The 18,412-nt window shown below is 41.3% G+C and overlaps 1 protein-coding gene and 2 non-coding genes across 3 annotated transcripts in view, besides 7 other annotated features; all 3 read left to right on the plus strand.

Moving 5' to 3' along the window:
* Window positions 4,389–5,230: an enhancer, noted in NCBI's record as "H3K27ac-H3K4me1 hESC enhancer chr1:249166437-249167278 (GRCh37/hg19 assembly coordinates)". NCBI's record gives its function as "activates a minimal SCP1, AML or CMV promoter by ChIP-STARR-seq in primed H9 embryonic stem cells {active_cell/tissue: H9 hESC(primed)}" and the evidence as "EXISTENCE:reporter gene assay evidence [ECO:0000049][PMID:30033119]".
* PGBD2 (piggyBac transposable element derived 2) overlaps window positions 5,002–18,412 on the plus strand; it is a 57,341-nt gene continuing 43,930 nt past the window's right edge. Inside the window, exon 1 of the mRNA XM_011544161.4 lies at window positions 5,002–6,043. The gene's annotated coding sequence lies outside the window, so the exon portion shown is untranslated. The remainder of the gene's footprint in view (window positions 6,044–18,412) is intronic.
* Window positions 5,231–6,072: an enhancer, noted in NCBI's record as "H3K27ac-H3K4me1 hESC enhancer chr1:249167279-249168120 (GRCh37/hg19 assembly coordinates)". NCBI's record gives its function as "activates a minimal SCP1, AML or CMV promoter by ChIP-STARR-seq in primed H9 embryonic stem cells {active_cell/tissue: H9 hESC(primed)}" and the evidence as "EXISTENCE:reporter gene assay evidence [ECO:0000049][PMID:30033119]".
* Window positions 5,231–6,076: a biological region, named in NCBI's record as "H3K27ac-H3K4me1 hESC enhancer GRCh37_chr1:249167279-249168120".
* Window positions 5,667–5,776: an enhancer, noted in NCBI's record as "active region_2888". NCBI's record gives its function as "activates an Ori minimal core promoter by ATAC-STARR-seq in GM12878 lymphoblastoid cells {active_cell/tissue: GM12878}" and the evidence as "EXISTENCE:reporter gene assay evidence [ECO:0000049][PMID:35858748]".
* TRL-CAA4-1 (tRNA-Leu (anticodon CAA) 4-1) lies at window positions 6,006–6,111 on the plus strand. Its single transcript has 2 exons — window positions 6,006–6,043; window positions 6,066–6,111. It is a non-coding gene; the product is annotated as a tRNA-Leu (tRNA).
* Window positions 6,027–6,076: a silencer, noted in NCBI's record as "silent region_2052". NCBI's record gives its function as "represses an Ori minimal core promoter by ATAC-STARR-seq in GM12878 lymphoblastoid cells {active_cell/tissue: GM12878}" and the evidence as "EXISTENCE:reporter gene assay evidence [ECO:0000049][PMID:35858748]".
* Window positions 6,347–6,496: a silencer, noted in NCBI's record as "silent region_2053". NCBI's record gives its function as "represses an Ori minimal core promoter by ATAC-STARR-seq in GM12878 lymphoblastoid cells {active_cell/tissue: GM12878}" and the evidence as "EXISTENCE:reporter gene assay evidence [ECO:0000049][PMID:35858748]".
* TRE-CTC2-1 (tRNA-Glu (anticodon CTC) 2-1) lies at window positions 6,399–6,470 on the plus strand. The gene has a single exon. It is a non-coding gene; the product is annotated as a tRNA-Glu (tRNA).
* Window positions 17,135–17,347: a transcriptional cis regulatory region, noted in NCBI's record as "candidate enhancer chr1.12988 targeted for multiplex CRISPR interference". NCBI's record gives its function as "positively regulates ZNF672 gene expression with high confidence in K562 cells {active_cell/tissue: K562}" and the evidence as "EXISTENCE:mutant phenotype evidence [ECO:0000015][PMID:30612741]".

The following is an 18,412-nucleotide window of genomic DNA, read 5'->3' on the forward strand; positions in this document are numbered from 1 at the left end:
AGCCTCTGTGGACTGAGGATCCAGTGATACTGTTGCAGATTCAGGCCTCCAAGCCAGCCTCTGTGAACTCAGGACATAGGTTTACTCCTGTAGACTTAGGCTCCAGAGGACACAGACTCCAGGCCCATCTCAGTACCTGGCTGGTCCCTGCAGACTCAGGCTCAAGACCCACTCCAGTGGCAAGTCAGCCCTTGTAGACCTGGGATTCAGGTTTGCCACAAGGGACACAGGTTCTAGGTCCACCCCAGCAGATCCAATCAACTGGTCCACCCTAGTGGATCCAGCTTTCAGACCTGCCCGTCTGCTCATCCAGTCACTAGACCAGCAAACCTGAGGACTTAAGCAGCAGGCTCACCCATTGGCCACAACAGGCGGCCTGCCCAGAATTTCTGTACAGGCTGACTGATAGATAAAGGGTGTTTTTAGATAATCAGGTCTTCAAAGACTGGAATAAGTAGCTACTTCTTCAAATATGCACACACCAATGCATGGAACAATCAAGAACAATTAGAAATATGCATCACCAGCTGGGTGCAGTGGCTCACGCCTGTAATTCCAGCACTTTTGGAGGCCGAGGACTGTGGATCACTTGAGGACAGGAGTTCAAGACCAGCCTGGCCAATATGGTGAAACCCCATCTCTACTAAAATATACAAAAATTAGCCGGGTATGGTGGTGCATGCCTGTAGTCCCGCTACTCAGGAGCCTGAAGTAGGAGAATCGCTTGAACTCAGGAAGCAGAAGTTGCAGTGAGCCGAGATCATACCACTGCACTGCAGCCTGGGCGACAGAGTGAGACTCCATCTCCAAAAAAAAAAAAAAGAAAAGAAAAGAAATATGCATCACCAAAGGGACAAAATAAAGCACCAGTGACTGACTCTAAAAAGATGGAGATGTATAAATTGCTCAACAAAGAATTCAAAATACTTTGAATATGAATGGATTAAATTTTCCAATTAAAAAACATAGAGTGGCTGAGTGAATTAAAAAAAAAAAGACCCAACTATATGTTGCCTACAAAGCACTCACTTCACCTATGAAGACACACATATACTGAAAGTAAAGGGATAGAAAAAGATACTCCAAGCAAATGGAAACCAAAGGAGAACAGGAGCAGGTATACTTAGATAAAATAAACTTTAAAACCTTAAGTCAAAAATTGTAAAAAGAGATAAATAAGGTCACTACATAAAAATAAAGGGATCAATTCAGCAAAAAGATACAACAATTGTAAATATATATTCACCCAACATTGGGATACCTAAATATATAAAGCAATATTAATACAGGTAAAAGGAGACATAGGTTGCAATATAATAAGAGTAGGGGACTTAAACACCCCACTTTCAGCAATGGACAGATAATCCAGACAGAAAATCAATAAGGAAACATCAGACATAGACTAAACTCTAGACCAAATGGACCTAACACGTGTACACAGGACATTCCATCCAACAGCAGAAGAATGCATTATCTTATATGTAGAAAACCCTAAGGACTACACTAAAAAAGTCTGTTAGAACTAATAAATTAATTCAGTAAAGTTGGAGGATCAATATACACAATCAGTAGCATTTCTACACAGTAATAGTAAACTATCCGGAAAACAAATCAAGAAAACAATCTCATTTACAGTAGCTAAAAAAAGATAAAATACTTAAGAATAAATTTAACCAATGAGCTCTACACTAAAAACTATAAAACATTAATGAAAGAAATTGAAGAAGAAATCACTAAATGGAAAGATATTTCATTTTAATGGATTGGAGGTATCAATATTATTAAAATGTCCATGCTACCAGAGCAATCTACAGATTCAATGCAATCCCTATAAAAATTCCAATGACAGTTTTCACAAAATAGAAAAGACAATACTTAAATACCTTTGAGGAAGAAAAAACAATCCCAAAATTTGTACAGAATCAAAAAGAAACTACTCAATGATAAGAAAGCAAATAACCCACTTAAATAATAGGCAAAGAATCTGAATAGACATTTCTCTAGGGAAGACATACAAATGGCCAACAGATATATGCAAACGTGCTTAATATCACGAATCATCAGGGAAATGCAACTTACAACCACAATGAGATATTACCTTCTGGCCGGGCCCTGTGGCTCACGCCCATAATCCCAGCACTTTGGGAGGCCGAGGCAGGTGGATCACCTGAGGAATTCGAGACAAGCCTGTCCAACATGGTGAAACCCTGTCTCTACTAAAAACAAAAATTATGCTGGGCGTGGTGGTGCGTTCCCATAATCCCAGGTACTCGGGAGGCAGAGGCAGGAGAATCGCTTGAACCCAGGAGGTGGAGGTTGCAGTGAGCCTAGATTGCGCCACTGCACTCCAGCCTGGGTGACAAGAACGAACCTCTGTTTCCTAAAAAAAAAAAAAGATATTACCTTCCATCTGTTAGAATGGCTATTATCAAAAAGATGAAAGATAACTATCATTGGTGAGGATGAGGAGAAAAGGGAAATCTTGCACATTGTTGGTGGGAATGTAAATTAGTACAGCTATTATAGACAACAGTATGGAAGCTCCTCATAAAACTTAAACAAAATTACCATATGATCCAGCACTCGCACTACTGGGTATATATCCAAAGTAATTGAAATCATTATGTTCAAGAGATGCCTGCACTCTCACGTTTATTGCAGCATTACTCACAATGGGTAAGATATGGAAACAACCATAATACCCATCAAGGATGAATGGTTAATAAAATTATGTTATTTGTGACAACATGGGTGAATCTAGACAGCCTTCTGCTACCTGAAATATGCCAGGCATAGGAAGACAAATACTTCATGTTATCCCTTATGTTTTGAATCTAAAAAAATCGAACTCATAGAAAAAAGGAGTAGAATGGTGGTTATCAGAGGCTGGGAGAGGGGGGTGGAATGAGGAAAGAGGGTGGAATGTTGGTTAAAAGGTACATAGTTTTAGTTCAACAGGAGGAATGATTTCTTGTGACCTACTGCACAGAATGGTGACTGTGGTTAATAATAATGCATATTTCAAAATTCCTGCAGGAGTGGATTTTAAATGTTCTGACCACAAAGAAATCATAAAAGCATGGGAGGTGATGGATATGTTAATTAGCCTTATTTGATCATTTCACAATGTGTACATGAATTGAAACATCACATGGTACTCCATAAAGATATATAATTATTATTTGTCAATTAAAGATAAAATATTTTAAAAAGGAAAAAATATTAAAAACCTGGAAATAGACAAAAGAGATTACTAGGTGTCCTTCCCATGGAACTTGGCATTGTCTAGCAGACCTTTGTGGGATTATCTGTTTCCATTGGCATGTGCACCTTTATTAATTTTTATTGACTTGGCTATTTTGCAGCTTGGTAGGGAGGTAGAGGTTAACTTTTTTTTTTTTTTTTTTTTTTTTGAGACAGAGTCTCGCTCTGTCACCCAGGCTGGAGTGCAGTGGTGTGGTCTTGTCTCACTGCAAACTCTGCCTCCCGGGTTCACGCCATTCTCCTGGCTCAGCCTCCTGAGTAGCTGGGACTACAAGTGCCCGCCACCATGCCCGGCTAATTTTTTTGTATTTTCAGTAGAGACGGGGTTTCACCGTGTTAGCCAGGATGGTCTCCATCTCCTGACCTCGTGATCTGGCCGCCTCGGCCTCCCAAAGTGCTGGGATTACAGGCGTGAGCCACAGCGCCCGGCCAAGGTTAACTTTTAGAAAACTAATAGTAATGAAAATGGTTTCTGTCTGAGAGCAAGACCAAGGATAGCAATATAAGTAAAATTTGTCAAGAGACACAACCGATTTATCTCCGGCAAAGAAAAGATAACCCCGGAGTAGAAATCCCAACTTCCATTATCACAGTTTATTACTCAGGATATTAACCCAACTTTAATCTGTTAGCAACCTCTTTTCAGCCTTCATTTGGCTGAATTATTATTTTAAAAGTCTCTCGAAATTCTCCTTTTAATTAGTTGTAACATTGGTAACATTGTATAGGTCATTGACAAAGACCTTCCTTGACCAAACTTCAGTCAGGCGCCTCTGATTCCTGTTTTTGATTAGGCCTCTACCTTGGCCCCTATCCTGTCTTTGGCCTGTAAAGCCTAGTCTTAGCAAACAGTCCTGCTAAGTCAGTTTAGTGTGAATTCCCCCAGCCTTGATATTGATCAAGTTACTCATTCCTCACCTTTGAATTTCTCACCTTTGGTGTCCAAGTCTTTGGCCTCCAGTAAGTAGAATCTTTTAAGGCCTGTTTAGTATGTAACCCCTACTCCTATTAGTAATTTTTCCTGCCTCCCTTCCTTCCTTCTTTCCTTCTCCCTTACCCTTAATGTCTCCTATTAGTAATTTTCTTTCTTTGAAAGGCGAGCTTCATCATAGCTCACTGAAGCCTCAAACTCCTGGGCAGAAGCGATCCTCCTGACTAGGCCTCCCAAAGCACTGGGATTACAGGCCTGAGCTGCCCCACTTGGCCCATTTTCTTAGTAATTTTCCATCCACTGATCCCCCCCACCCCCCACACTCTGCTCCTTGGCTTTAAATTTCTAGTTGTCTTTGTTGATTTGGAGTTGCGCCCAGTCTCTCACCCCTATTGTAATAGTTTGAATAAAATTCTCCCTTGCTGTTTGAACAAGTATCAGAATAATTTTCTCTTTAAAGTTATTATCTTTCATCATTAGTTAATTGAATAAAATCTTGACACGTGGATTTTATATTTGTATGACATTCTTATTTTATTTTATTTTATTTTATTGTTTTGAGACAGAGTTTCACTCTTGTTGCCCAGGCTGGAGTGCAACGGCGCGATCTCGGCTCACCACAACCTCCGCCTCCCAGGTTCAAGCGATTCTCCTGCCTCAGGCTCCCGAGTAGCTGGGATTACAGGCATGTGCCACCATGCCCGGCTAATTTTGTATTTTTAGTAGAGACGGGGTTTCTCCATGTTGGTCAGGCTGGTCTCGAACTCCCGACCTCAGGTGATCCGCCCACCTCCCAACGTGGTGGCGGGATTACAGGCATGAGCCACCGCGCCCGGCTGCATGACATATATTTTAGTTTTTGAAAAATATTTTAGCAAAAGTCACTTTAGTGAGGCCTTACTTAACTGCACAGTCTAAAAATAGAACTTCTCCACCACTTCATTGCTTTTGGTTTTTCCTCACACTCTGTACATGTGATTGTGCTGGTCATCTCCTTCACTAGCAAATCAGCTCACCAAGTTGGGGCTTTGTCTATTTACCGTTGTGTTCCCAGTGGACACTCGATGTTAAGATTCAACGAATGAATGCCTGGACGAGTGGTATCTGGGCTCACAGGTAACCTCACAGCCCACCGGGAGGACACTGCCAGAGCTGCTCTGCACTGCGAGTCCCGGGCCTTCCCATTGGACGCTAAGGCACTCGTTAACTGCTGTGTAAACGCAGCCTGACTTCCCTCACCTCAGGCGAGGCCCGCATCAGGCCCCTCTGACCTAGGACCTCCCGATCCGGCCGTTATCGCCAACCGTATCTGTGTGGTTTCGTGGAGGAAGCGCGGTGGACCTTGAGGGGAGGGTACGCGCAGGCACAATAAAGCAGAAAGCCGCTATAATAATGATGATAATGAAGAAAAACAAAAGCATCCATTCGTCACTTAGTGGCAAGCGTTTTTCCAACTACTTTCCGAGTAGTAACTGCTTGCCAGAGTTTCCCCAGCTTGGGCCGGAAGGTGAGGCGGTAGCTCGAGCTTTGCCTTTCTCAGGCATTGTCCTGCGTTTGCGGGGCCAGGCGCTGGCACACGGTCACTAACCCCTGGTCGTTAGCTTCGATTCCCGGCCTGGGAGAGCGCTATCGGCCACTCCTGGCTGCATTGCAGTCGCGGCTTTCTCCAGAGCTCCGCCGGGAACGGGAAGCGCTGAAACGTCGCGACCAGTCAGTAGGGTTCCCACGGCCGCAACTCGGGTGTGACGCGGCAGGCTGGCACCAGCGGACACAAGTATGAGGCTAAGTGAGAAGCGCTCTGCTTCCGAGTGTCAGGATGGCCGAGTGGTCTAAGGCGCCAGACTCAAGGTAAGCACCTTGCCTGCGGGCTTTCTGGTCTCCGGATGGAGGCGTGGGTTCGAATCCCACTTCTGACACATTCGTTTTATTAGCATTTTATTCCCCGGAAGAAACCCCAGAATTTTCCCGGAGTCCGTTGGTATTTTATTGTCTTCTCCAGGAAGAAGGTTACAACTAGACTACTCATCTTTGCTGCCCGGTTTTCCCTGTCTGCCGCAGCAAGGGGGCTACCTACCAAGGGGAGGGAAGCAGTCTGCATATTCCCAAATGTTGCGAGAAAACCGCATCCAATCATGTTTCTATAGGAGATACGTCACAGGATATTTATTTAGTATAGCATATTGCTAAATGACGCATCATGTCTTCCCTGGTGGTCTAGTGGTTAGGATTCGGCGCTCTCACCGCCGCGGCCCGGGTTCGATTCCCGGTCAGGAAAGTAAGCCGTTTTAAAAACTGTTGCCGCAGGGCTAACCATAGGTGATGTTCCCAGAGTCAGCTATGACTTGACTTCTAAACAAAGGGCAAAACGCACCTGGTGTCCTCATTTTGCAGAGTAGTTACCTGAAATGGACTCTACTGCAGTTTATGCGCGCCGTATATGTAGTCAGTGTCTTTACTCATGATATCTTAAGAACGGAGAAAAAATGCCAGCAGCACAAAATGATCCAAAAAGATAGCTCTGGGTATGCCAAAAATGGCTGGTCTTAAAATTATGTCACAGATTTCAAAAAGTCTCCCTAGGTGTCCAAAGGCCATTAGAATGGCACCTGTTGCCTAGAGGGGCGGGTCAGGGCCGGTCCTAGCTCCTTAACGACGCTTGAGTAATTGTCGCTATGGAAAGAGATCAGGTACTTCTCCCTCACCCCAGCATCTATCTTTTCATTTTTTAAATAAGTAGAGATAATTGAAATAATGCCACAACCAACCCTGGTTTCTCTTTACCTGCAATCAACACTGGTTAATATTTTGTCACATTCTCTCTCTCTCTCTCTCTTCCAAGGTAGATAGATAGGTAGATAGAGATAGATAGATAGATAGATAGATAGATAGATAGATAGATAGATAGATAGATAGACAAATAGATAGAGATAGGTATACCTTCCCTATTCCACTTGAAAGTTGAGATCTGTATGGCCTGGCGCGGTGGCTGACGCCTGTAATCCCAGCACTTTGGGAGGCTGAGGTGGGCGGATCACGAGGTCAGGAGATCGAGACCATCCCGGCTGACAGGGTGAAACCCCGTCTCTACTAAAAATACAAAAATTAGCTGAGCGTGGTGGCAGGTGCCTGTAGTCCCAGCTACTCAGGAGGCTGAGGCAGGAGAATGGCGTGAACCTGGGAGGCGGAGGTTGCAGTGAGCCGAGATCGCACCACTGCACTCCAGCCTGGGCGACAGAGCGAGACTCCGTCTCAAAAAAACAAAACAAAAAAAAAAAAAAAAAAAAGAAAAGAAAAAAAGAAAGAAAGTTGAGATCTGTAAAACTGTCCCCCCAACTTGAAAGTCACAGATATGCCATTACTCCATGTCACACCTAAGAAAATTGACATTAACATGCTGTCATATGCTAGTCTACATTCGAATTTTCCCCAATTGGCCTTAAAATGTCTTTTACAGCTGCTTTTAGTTTTTATTCTAAGTTTTTTATTGCCCATTTTTTAAATTTGGGAAGCCTGTGAAAAATATTTTAATAATTAAAAACTCCTAAACCACATTTAAGTTCTATCTTCTTAACATTTTGTAATATTATGAGCCTATGCACCTAATTTGTTATGGTTTTCCAAAGTTTTATTTCTCTCTGGGTATCTTTTTCAGATCTCCAGGCCAAGGCTGTGTTATCATACACTCTACACGATCAGACGGAACCAGGTCCATGCACGTTTGTGTTTTCCACAATGTTTAAAACAAATAGGCCTGTTTTAACTTCCTGAATTTCTGCTTCTTGTACTGCTGAAATGACTAGTTTGAAATAATTCAAATTGCTACAAATATTTATAGAAATTTTCTTAAATAATATTTATCTAGTGGTGGTAAGTTTGGTAAAATGGGCTGTTTGTCACATCCTTGTTCCTAGAACTGTACACATTCTGCTTGAATATGTGTGACTTTAAACTGTTCTTTTTTTTTTTTTTTCCTTTTTCTTTGAGACGGAGTTTTACTCTTGTTGCCCAGGCTGGAGTGCAATGGTGTGATCTTGGCTCACCGCAACCTCCGCCTCCCTGGTTCAAGCGATTCTCCTGCCTCAGCCTCCCGAGTAGCTGGGATTACAGGCATGCACCACCATGCCTGGCTAATTTTGTATTTTTAGTAGAGACAGGGTTTCTCCACATTGGCCAGGCTGTTCTCGAACTCCCAACCTCAGGTGATCTGCCTGCCTTGGCCTCCCAAAGTGCTAGGATTACAGGCGTGAGCCACCGAGCCTGGCCTAAACTGTTCTTTTATCAAAAACATTTTGACTGTCCTAGGTGTTGATTTGTAAACGAATCTTCATAGGTTAATTAGAACAGGTTCTCAATACTTTAGGTGGAGGGTTTGCTATTCTTTTGGTCCACTGTGGTTTCCAGTGTTGTGTTCTTAAGCAACGTATCTTATTCCAGCGTCCTGTCAATTATGCAAGGTCCAGGGTCCCAGTGTTTAACCTTGCATTTTGTAAAAGAGATGTCTCTAGCTATAAATATAGGTAAGTGGAAACTAGTCTTGTTATATTTTGGTAAATAGGCAGTTGAGCTGACCATGTAACCTTATTCCATGACCCACTGGATGGTTGGGTCATGGAGAAAAACTAATTTGACATACCTGGGTCTGTTTTTGTGACTTTATCCGTATTTATTTTAGTTCCTAGTGTTTCCCACCAGTCAATTGATTTAAATTGTATGGTGTCTCTACATCTCTGAAATAAAAGTTTGGATCATTCTGAATTTCCACTGGGCACATTGGAAAAACAACTTGATTTTGTTCATATTTGGGTTTTCTAGTAAAGTTTTCTAATATAGTCATGTTTTTTGGTTCTCTTTATGTAAATAATGTGCTAATAATCTCTGTCATTTTGTATGTGATTGTAAATGGTCCAAATACTGGGGTGAGTTAGATTGTAGCAGATTATAGGTCTGTAGTCTGTGAGTACATGTGAATATTAATTGTCCCCAAAAATCACATGTAATATTCACATGTACAAACAAAAGTTTTGTTGTAATTCATTAAAACAATATTTGTATCCAGCGGTGTCCAGGACCACCATGAGTTCCTGGAAGATGTTGACCCCAGCAAACAATAAATTTAGTAGGAATTTTGTATGTTGTTGTAGCTGCTGTGATGATTAGGAATTGGTGTGGTTTTCATGGTTGTGTCCAAAATGAGCCTGTTTTAGTTTCTGTTACACGCCATCATAGAGTGAAGTTTCCAGTTATGATGACATATCTGTCTATGTTTTCTAGAAACTCTTTGCCTAAATGTGGTTTGTATATATTGTAGCCAAGCTTGCCGTGGCTCACTGCAGCCTTGACCTCTGAGGCTCAAGTGATCCTCACACTTCAGCCTCACCAGCGGCTGGGACTACAAGCATGCACACAAATTTATTTAATATGTATACACAGGTGCATTCAGAATAAAGACCCAGCCTCCCAATGCCGTACAGAAGCTTATAGGCCATCTTGAGGTTACAGAAATAATGGGGGCTTGGATCCTGGTAAAACAGGTTATGGGAGGGGGAGAAGAAGAATTCTATTTAAGGGGCAATAAATGATTACTAGGGAGAATGATTGGATCAGATAACAGAAATTAACTTGGAAATAGTTCTCTCTGGAATTTAAATAATCCTTGGATGCAGTCATTATCTTGAGAAAGGGTGTGTTACTATGATGGCTAATAGAAGGTGAATGAGAAAGGTGATAAGACCAGTTGAGAAACTACACAAATTTGTAGCCATGTTGTCTCAAGTGAATAAAGTATTTAATTATTCTGCTGATGGCTAGAAGTGATGTTGAGGTTAAAAATATGGGGTTAGTGGCAAGTAAAATTGGATTGAAGTACACTTTCCATTAATTTTATGGAGAATATTAATGCAATGACTAAAAGAAACAGTGTAGCACCAATATTGCAGAAAGTGTGGTAACAAACCTAGGTCTAGTGAGAATTTGGAGAAAGGCTGGAGATTGGGGTAATTGTAACTTTCCTCTTTTTTTCTCTAGTCCAGTAAGTATTTCTGTGTCCATTGGCCACGATGTTCTGTTGGGAGATCATGTTGTCATTTAGTTTAGTGCTCACCTTTGAGTTACACTATTTGTATCATTGTTTTCCATATCTTTTTTTTTTTTTTTGAGACGGAGTCTCGCTCTGTCGCCCAGGCTGGAGTGCAGGGGCGCAATCTCGGCTCACTGCAAGCTCCGCCTCCCGAGTTCAAGCGAGTCTCCTGCCTCAGCCTCCCGAGTAGCTGGGACTACGGGGCCCGCCACCACGCCCAGCTAGTTTTTGTATTTTTTGTAGAGATGGGGTTTCACTATGTTGGCCAGGCTGGTCTCGAATTCCTGACCTCGTGATCCGCCCGCCTCGGCCTCCCAAAGTGCTGGGATAACAGGCGTGAGCCACCGCACCTGCTTCCACATCCTTTATGACCATAAAGGCAGTTGATTAAGGTAAGAGTGGGGGTTGCTCTTATAAAGACTTTCTCTCTTATTTAAATTAAAACACCCCAGGTTAAGAGCTTGTTGGAATGTGCTCGTTTTGTCTAAGGTTTTAAGTTCTCTTTTCGGTAGTCCATTTAATCTCTCCTTATATTCTGCTGCACTGGGATTATAAGGTATGCAGAAATTCCATTGTATAACCCATTTATCTGCTAATGCTTCTGTAGTCTTTGATGTAAAATTAGTTTCCTGGTTACTTTCAATTATTTTAGAAGCTCCATAGTACACTGCCCAATTTTCTATGGCTAAGATGGTGTATTTGGCAAATGGGTGGCTCGCCGCTATTGCTATGCCAGTCTCTGTATATGTATCCACTGTTGTTATGGCATATTTTTGTTGGTTGGAGTGATTTAATGGTCCTATAAAATCTATCTGTAGGCAGAAGTTAAAGGTGTTGGGTTTGTGTGTATCTATGCTTTAGTGTATCCATATTTCTCCAGGTTAGTTTTACATTGCTCACAATTAGCTATATGCCTTTTAAATTTGATGTCGTTACCTTTTGATTTGTCTTAACAGCCACCTGAACAGTGAGTGTGTGCCTAAATGTCCTTTCTGCTTATGTAATTATAAGAATGTTTGTAGAGCGTAAGCTGCTCACAGCGCCTGTTTAATTTTAAATTCATCTTGCTGTTTTATTATGGCTACTGGGGGTACTTGGGGTATCTCCCATTCATAGTCTGATTTTCTTCTGAGTTGTAGAGGTGGCGATGAATGTCTTCATGAGTTGTGCGGATTTCTGTGTAGCTTTAATTTGGGTACATTTTGTGTGTCAATTGTTATGTTCCCTGTTAATTCATCTAATTATCTATTAAATTGGTGGCCTTTGAATGATCTTTTTATTTTTTGTTTTTTGAGATAGGATCCTTCTCTGTCACTCAGCCTTGAGTGTAGTGGCGTGATCTCAGCTCACCGCAGCCTCAACCTTCCGGGCTCAAACTATTCTCCTGCCTCAGCCTTCCAAGTAGCTAGGACTACAGGCGTGTGCCACTACGTATGGCTAATTTTTTTTCTTATCTTTTGTAGAGACAGGGGTCTTGCTATGTTGCCCAGGCTGGTCTCCAACTCCTGTGCTTAAGCAATCTTCTCACTTCAGCCTCCTAAAGTGTTGAGATTACAGGCATGAGCCACTGTGCCCTGCCTAAGTTATCTTTTTGGTATGCTGATATGTGTCATAAATATCTTAATTCTGTTTGATGATTTATATAGTTCCTCTCAGTAAGATTCGGACCATATGTCATTGTCATTAATTTTAAAATTATTTTGTTTCCATTTGTGTGATTATGGGGCTATGTTGTTGTGACTGCTCATGAATTTGTAAATATATACACATATATATATTCTTTTGATTTTCTGATACTGAGTGTCCAAATGCTCTAACAACTGCAATCAGTTCTGCATGCTGTGGAGAGAGCAATTCATTTGACTCCTTCAGGATTATATGGTCCTGGAGTCTGAGTGCTTCTGCTGTTCAATGGGTCTGGCCTTTGGGTCATGGAAGCTGATCCTTCCATAAACCAGGTGTTTGGCAAGACATTAAACGAGACCAGGACCCATTTTCCTATATTGTCACAGATTTTTCTTGTCTTCAGAATACATTCTGGCAAGTCTATTTTTGTCTTGTGAATCTGCTCCATGAGAAGACCTGATTGACCCTCAAAGCTGTTGTCTCCACCCTGGATGTATCCATTCCATGTGAGCAGTTTTGGACCAATTTGGATACCTGTCAGTTTTCCAGGACTCAATTTTATCCAGTGAAGAAAAGGCATATGACATTTTTTGTAATGTTGTTGTTGCCAGTCAGATGCTTAGTGGTTAGGGCTTCATGTGTAAGCCGTATGTATTTTTGAATGGGCTGTATTTGTTGTTCGAGTATGGGAATTTTGTTATCTGAAATCCAACCAGTAGGAAAGATTTAGAATCTAGTTTCTATGTCCATAATGATCATGTTCTATATTCATCACTCATCAGAACTTTCAACCCAAGTTGTGAATCTGAAGATGGGTAATGCAGTGATTGAAATGTGCTAATGTAGTCTTTGAGTGTTTCAAGTTCTTGTCCATATGTGAAGTCTTGGGATTTTCTAGATATATTGGTTCCAAGATGATGTTTAAGTAAGGTGTATGCTGTCTCCAATATCCAGATAAAACTGTTAGTCTTTGTTCCTCCTGTTTGTTTTTGTCAGCTTAAGGGCTTTTATTTTATCTATTACTGTGGTTGAGATTTTTCTCCCTTCTGATGACCATCGGACTCCTAAAAATTTGCAGTTGGTGTCTGGGCTTGTGTTTTTATCTATATTAATAGTCTATCCCAATAATCTTAAATGTGTTATTAATTGGGATTTTTTCCTGTTTAATTTGTTCCCTAGTCATTATTTAGCATTATGATGTTATCTCTGTATAATATTATTAGTGACTTGTAGCATGATGTGTCTCCCACCAGGTTACTTAAGGGTATGCATCTGCTGCCTGAACCCTGAGACTGAGCAGTGAGCCAAAGCCATGGTGCCCAGCCTAGGAGCAGGGGTCCCTGAGAGCCCAAACATCCCGTGGAGTATCTGAGAACCTTCCGAGAAAAACAGTCTCATTGCTTAAACACAGTAGGCAAAGAGCCAGAAAATTAGCTTAAGCAGTTTAGAAATGAGAGGTGGTGTGGATCTCTAGAGCTATCCTACCACCATCCAGGAGTCCCTGTATGTAAGTCCAAATACATTCATTTACTTCTCAAGCTGGACTTGTCCAAGTCATTCTTTGGTTCTTGGTTTCTTTCCAGTTTGGGGGATGCACATCACGGTCCCAAGTTTTTCTTGTTATAGATGTATATTTTGATTGGTCTATGTGTGATGACAAAATGGAATGAACTATTACTGAACTATTTAGATATCCCTGTGGTAATGTTTTGAATTGGTATTGTTTACCTTCCCATGTAAAGTTGGTATATTCCTGGCTTGCTTTATTTATTGGTTTGGCAAAGAACACATCTGACATGTCTATGATTGTATAGTATTTGTCATTATGATTAATGATCTTATTAACTAGCTCTTCTACATCTGGTAATGCTCTTGGCATTTTAGTTGAGACTTTATTTAAATTTCTATAGTCAATAGTTAATCTATAGCTCCTGTTTGTTTTTAAGACAGGCCATACTGAACTATTAAAGTTATTTGAAATGACAATTGTAATAATATCTTCCTTGAGGAGTTCTACAATCTTTGCTGTTATTTCTTTAAGTCCTTCCTTTAATGAGTACTGTTTGGTGCATGTAACCTGCTGTGGTGTAGACAGTGTTATGGACTTCATTTTAATTTGAACTAGGTTAGAAAATTTTAGTTCCTCTAGTTTCCTTTAATATAAGTTAAAAAGATTTGGAATAAAATTCATTCCTGTAATGTCTTATAATTTGGGTGAGCAGTAAAAAGTGCATAGAGCAGTATAGAAGCAGAGGCAAGAAAGCTTCAAGTTTATTTACCTCTGAGTCCTTCTGTATGAATGTTTATTGTGGGATCTGGCCAGCAGCCCGCAATGCAATGGGGCTCTCTCTTTGTTCCCAGGCAGATCGGCAGGTTGAGAAATAATAGACACACACAAGATAGTGAAAGCTGGGTCCAGGGGGGTCACCGCCTTCTGGTCCCACGGAGCCAAAAATGCACGGGATATACCAGCATTTATTATTAAGTTTAGTGAGGGCAGGGGTAGGTTAGTGAGGGATTTAGGGTCATTTGATTATGAGGTTAGATGGTCACATGGGGATGAAGTAATTCTTTAACATAACATCTGTATGCAGAAGTACAGTATACAGAGATAAGAATTTACAATATAGTGTGTGCATCAGTAATTTCTAACAGAGCCTTAAAACAGAAACACAGTATTTCCATTACCTATGATTAGCAAGATATTAATCAGCAGTAACAGTTGCAGGAAAAGCTGGTTACAAACAATCCATAGAAACAGGACATGAAGCTAGACAATCGGTTAGACCAGAAATTCTCAGAAGGGAGTATGCCTTAACCCTAAAGAGGCCTAGAAGAGCCGTGGCAAGATGAGGGCGTTTATAGCCCTATCTTATCCATATGGACAGGCGCCCCTCATGTGTCTGTTTATAGGCTCTCCACAAGGGTTGCATTCCATTCCCAGAGCTATGAACATCTGTTTTCCTGGGATAGGAATCTTAGTGATGTGAAACCTCCCTGACCGCACGTCCATTCATAGGCTCTCTGCAGGGGGAAGCACATCATGCACTGTTGGCTCGTTCTGGCAGTCCAACCTGGCATTGTCTTTACACAATCCTGCATGCAATTTTGTATTTACAATAATCAGGAGCATTTCATCTTTTATTCCGTAGCAATAGTTTCAGGGGGTCTCCCTACAAATGTTTATGTCAGAATGTGGTGCATTATATTTTAGAAAGCTTACTTGTGATCCAGAGCCTTAAAAAAATGGTATGTATGTATATATTTGTCAATTTGTATATAGCTAATTGTTCATATGGTCTGTTATCCCCAGGTTTGAGTGTTATAGCCTGCACCTGGAGGGTTTCTAGTTTTTAAAGAATTTCTTTGTTTGTTTGTTTTTTGTTTGTTTTTTGAGACAGAGTTTCACTCCTGTTGCCCAGGCTGGAGTGCAATGGCGGGATCTCGGCTCACCACAACCTCCGCCTCCCAGGTTCAAGTGATTCTCCTGCCTCAGCCTCTCGAGTAGCTGGGATTACAGGCATGTGCCACTACGCCTGGCTAATTTTGTATTTTTAGTAGAGATGAGGTTTCTCCATGTTGGTCAGGCTGGTCTCAAACTCCCAACCTCAGGTGATCCGCCGCCTCGGCCTCCCAAAGTGCTGGGATTACAGGTGTGAGCCACTGCACCCGGTCCTTTGCCCATTTTTAAATGGAGTTATTTGTTTTTTGCTTGATGATTTGTTTCAGTTTCAGTTCTTTATAGATTCTGGATATTAGGCCTTTTTCAGATGTATAGTTTGTGAAAATTTTCTCCCAGCCTGTCTGTTCACTCTGCTGATAGTTTCTTTTTTTTTTCTTTTTTTTTTTTTTTTTTTTTGAGACAGAGTCTTGCTCCTGTCGCCTTGTCGCCCAGGCTGGAGTGCAGTGGCACGATCTCGGCTTACTGCAACCTCAGCCTCCCAGGTTCGAGTGATTCTCCTGCCTCAGCCTTCCAAGTAGTTGGTACTACAGGCGCCCGCCACGATGCCCAGCTAATTTTTTTGTATTTTTAGTAGAGACTGGGTTTCACCATGTTAGCCAGGATGGTCTCGATCTCCTGACCTCATGATCCGCCCGCCTCGGCCTCCCAAAGTGCTGGGATTACAGGCATGAGCCACCGTGCCCGACCCTAGTTTCTTCTACTGTGCAGAAGCTCGTTAGTTTAATTAGGTCCCACCTGCCAATTTTTCTTTTAGTTGCAATTGCTTTTGAGCACTTAGTCATAAATTATTTGCTAAGGCTGATATCCAGAAGAGTATTTCCCAGGTTTTCTTCTAGGATTTTTATAGTTGGAGGTCTTATATTTAAATATTTAATCCATCTGGAATTAATTTTTGTAATTAGGTAGAGTCCTAATTTTGTAAAAGGTAGAGTCCAGCTTCATTCTTCTGCATATGGCTAGTAAGACACAAAATTTGAGTTAAGCTGTGTTAATGAAAAAAACCAAACTCTGTAAAATATTTTAAAGTGGTTTATTCTAAGCCAATATAAGTGATTTCAGCCCAACGAAACCAGTCTCAAGGAGTCTTGGGAAAGTGCCTTTGAGGTGATCAGATTACAGTTTTTCGTTTTTGTTTGTGTTTTTTTTTTTGAGACAGAGTCTCGCTCTGTAGCCCAGGCTGGAGTGCAGTGGCGCGATCTCGGCTCATTGCAACCTTCGCCTCCTGGGTCCTGGTTCAAGCAGTTCTCCTGCCTCAGCCTTCTGAGTAGCTGGGATTACAGGCACACACCACCATGCCCAGCTAATTTTTGTATTTTTAGTAGAGACGGGGTTTCACCCTATCAGCCAGGATGGTCTTGAACTCCTGACCTGGTGATCCGCCCACCTCATTATAGTTTTTTAAAAACACATTTTAGGGAGCAAGAGTTACAGGCAAAGACAAATCAATACATGGAAGGTATACATTGGTTTGGCCTGAAAAGGTGGGCTATCTTGAAGCAGGGGCTTATAGGTTATAGATAGATTCAGAGATTCTTTAATTTCAGTTGAATGAGTAAAGCTCTGTCTAAAACTTGGAGTCAGCAGAAAGAAATGTTTTAAGTTAGGATAATAATGCTATGTAGCAAGATTAATGACCTGCAGGTGTGCCTTAAGTCATGCCTGGCATGGTCTTAGGTCTTGTTTATAATTTGATATCTCATTACCACAATGAGTCTGTTTTGTCAGTCTTATGATCTCTATTTTCAGATGAATCCTGGTCAGTTTTTGTGCCTTAAATTTAAAAGGAAGAGGGTAAAATGAGGTGTATCCTACTTCCCATCTCATAGTGGCCAGAACTCAGTTTTTTAAGTGAGACTGCAGACTTTTTTTGCAGTCCCCTTGGCCACAAGGGGTCTCTTCTGTCATTGGAGGACTTAGGATTTTATTTTATTATCATTTTTTTAGAGGCAGGATCTCACTCTTTTGCCTGGGGTGGAGTGCAGTGGCATAATCATAGCTCACTGTAACCTTGAACTCCTGGCCTGAAGTGATTCTCTCACTTCAGTTTCTTGAGTAGCTAGGACTACAGGCATGAGCCACGATGTCTGGCTACTTTTTAATTTTTTTTTTTTTGTAGAGATGGGGTTTTGCTACGTTTCCCAGACTGGTCTTGAACTCCTAGCCTTAAGCTATCCTCTCACCTCAGCCTCCTGCATGGCTAGGACTACAGGTGTGTGACCCCATGCTCAGCTAAAAATTTTATTTTTAGTTTACATTTGTTACATCAGGAATAGAAAATTAATATAGTACCCAACAGAGCCACAATTATTTTAATTTCAAAACCCAGTCTTGGTTCAGAAGCTAGACCTCCTTTGAATTAGACATGGGACTAATGAATGCACCCTCCAACCAACTCTATCCCACTTAAAGATAGTGAGGGTAGGGACCCCAGGAGAAACAGTGCTTGATGAAGACTATCTTAACAGTTCTATAACCCCCACACTCATCCTGTTCTTTATATATTTGAAGCTGACCATAAGAGAGGAATCACGGACCAGTTCCCTGGCCATTTCCTTCCTAAATTCTGCATTGAGAGATCTGTAATATCTGATGTATCTAAATTGGCAATTCAAAGTAAAGCAGAGATGCATTTGAATAACCTGCTACACATGCAAATAGTTGCTAAATAAACACATGCAGGCCTTGAGATGGAACTATGTATCACATTTTCACATCTGCCATTAGAACATAATGTCTTCCTTCTACAAAGTGAACTTTCCTACCCTGTCAGTTTACTCCTCAGTAATTTGTCTTAAGGTGTTACAAGGATACAAATCATGAATGAAAAAAAAAATAAGAAACGTGTCTTATGATATTTTGTGCAAATAATGGTTACCAAAGAAAGGCCTTGTTGATGTTAACTCTGGTTTGCACCAACTTGCCCCATGTCCAAACGAGGAAAGTGATGAAGACAGATCTCTCAGTGGCTGCTACATGCTAGGTTTTTTTCAGGAAGATTTACATTTTATTACCATAAAGACAAAAAAATAAAAATAGGAATGTATGAGTTATC

Source organism: Homo sapiens, chromosome 1, assembly GCF_000001405.40.
Source record: "Homo sapiens chromosome 1, GRCh38.p14 Primary Assembly".
NCBI classification, from domain to species: domain Eukaryota; kingdom Metazoa; phylum Chordata; class Mammalia; order Primates; family Hominidae; genus Homo; species Homo sapiens.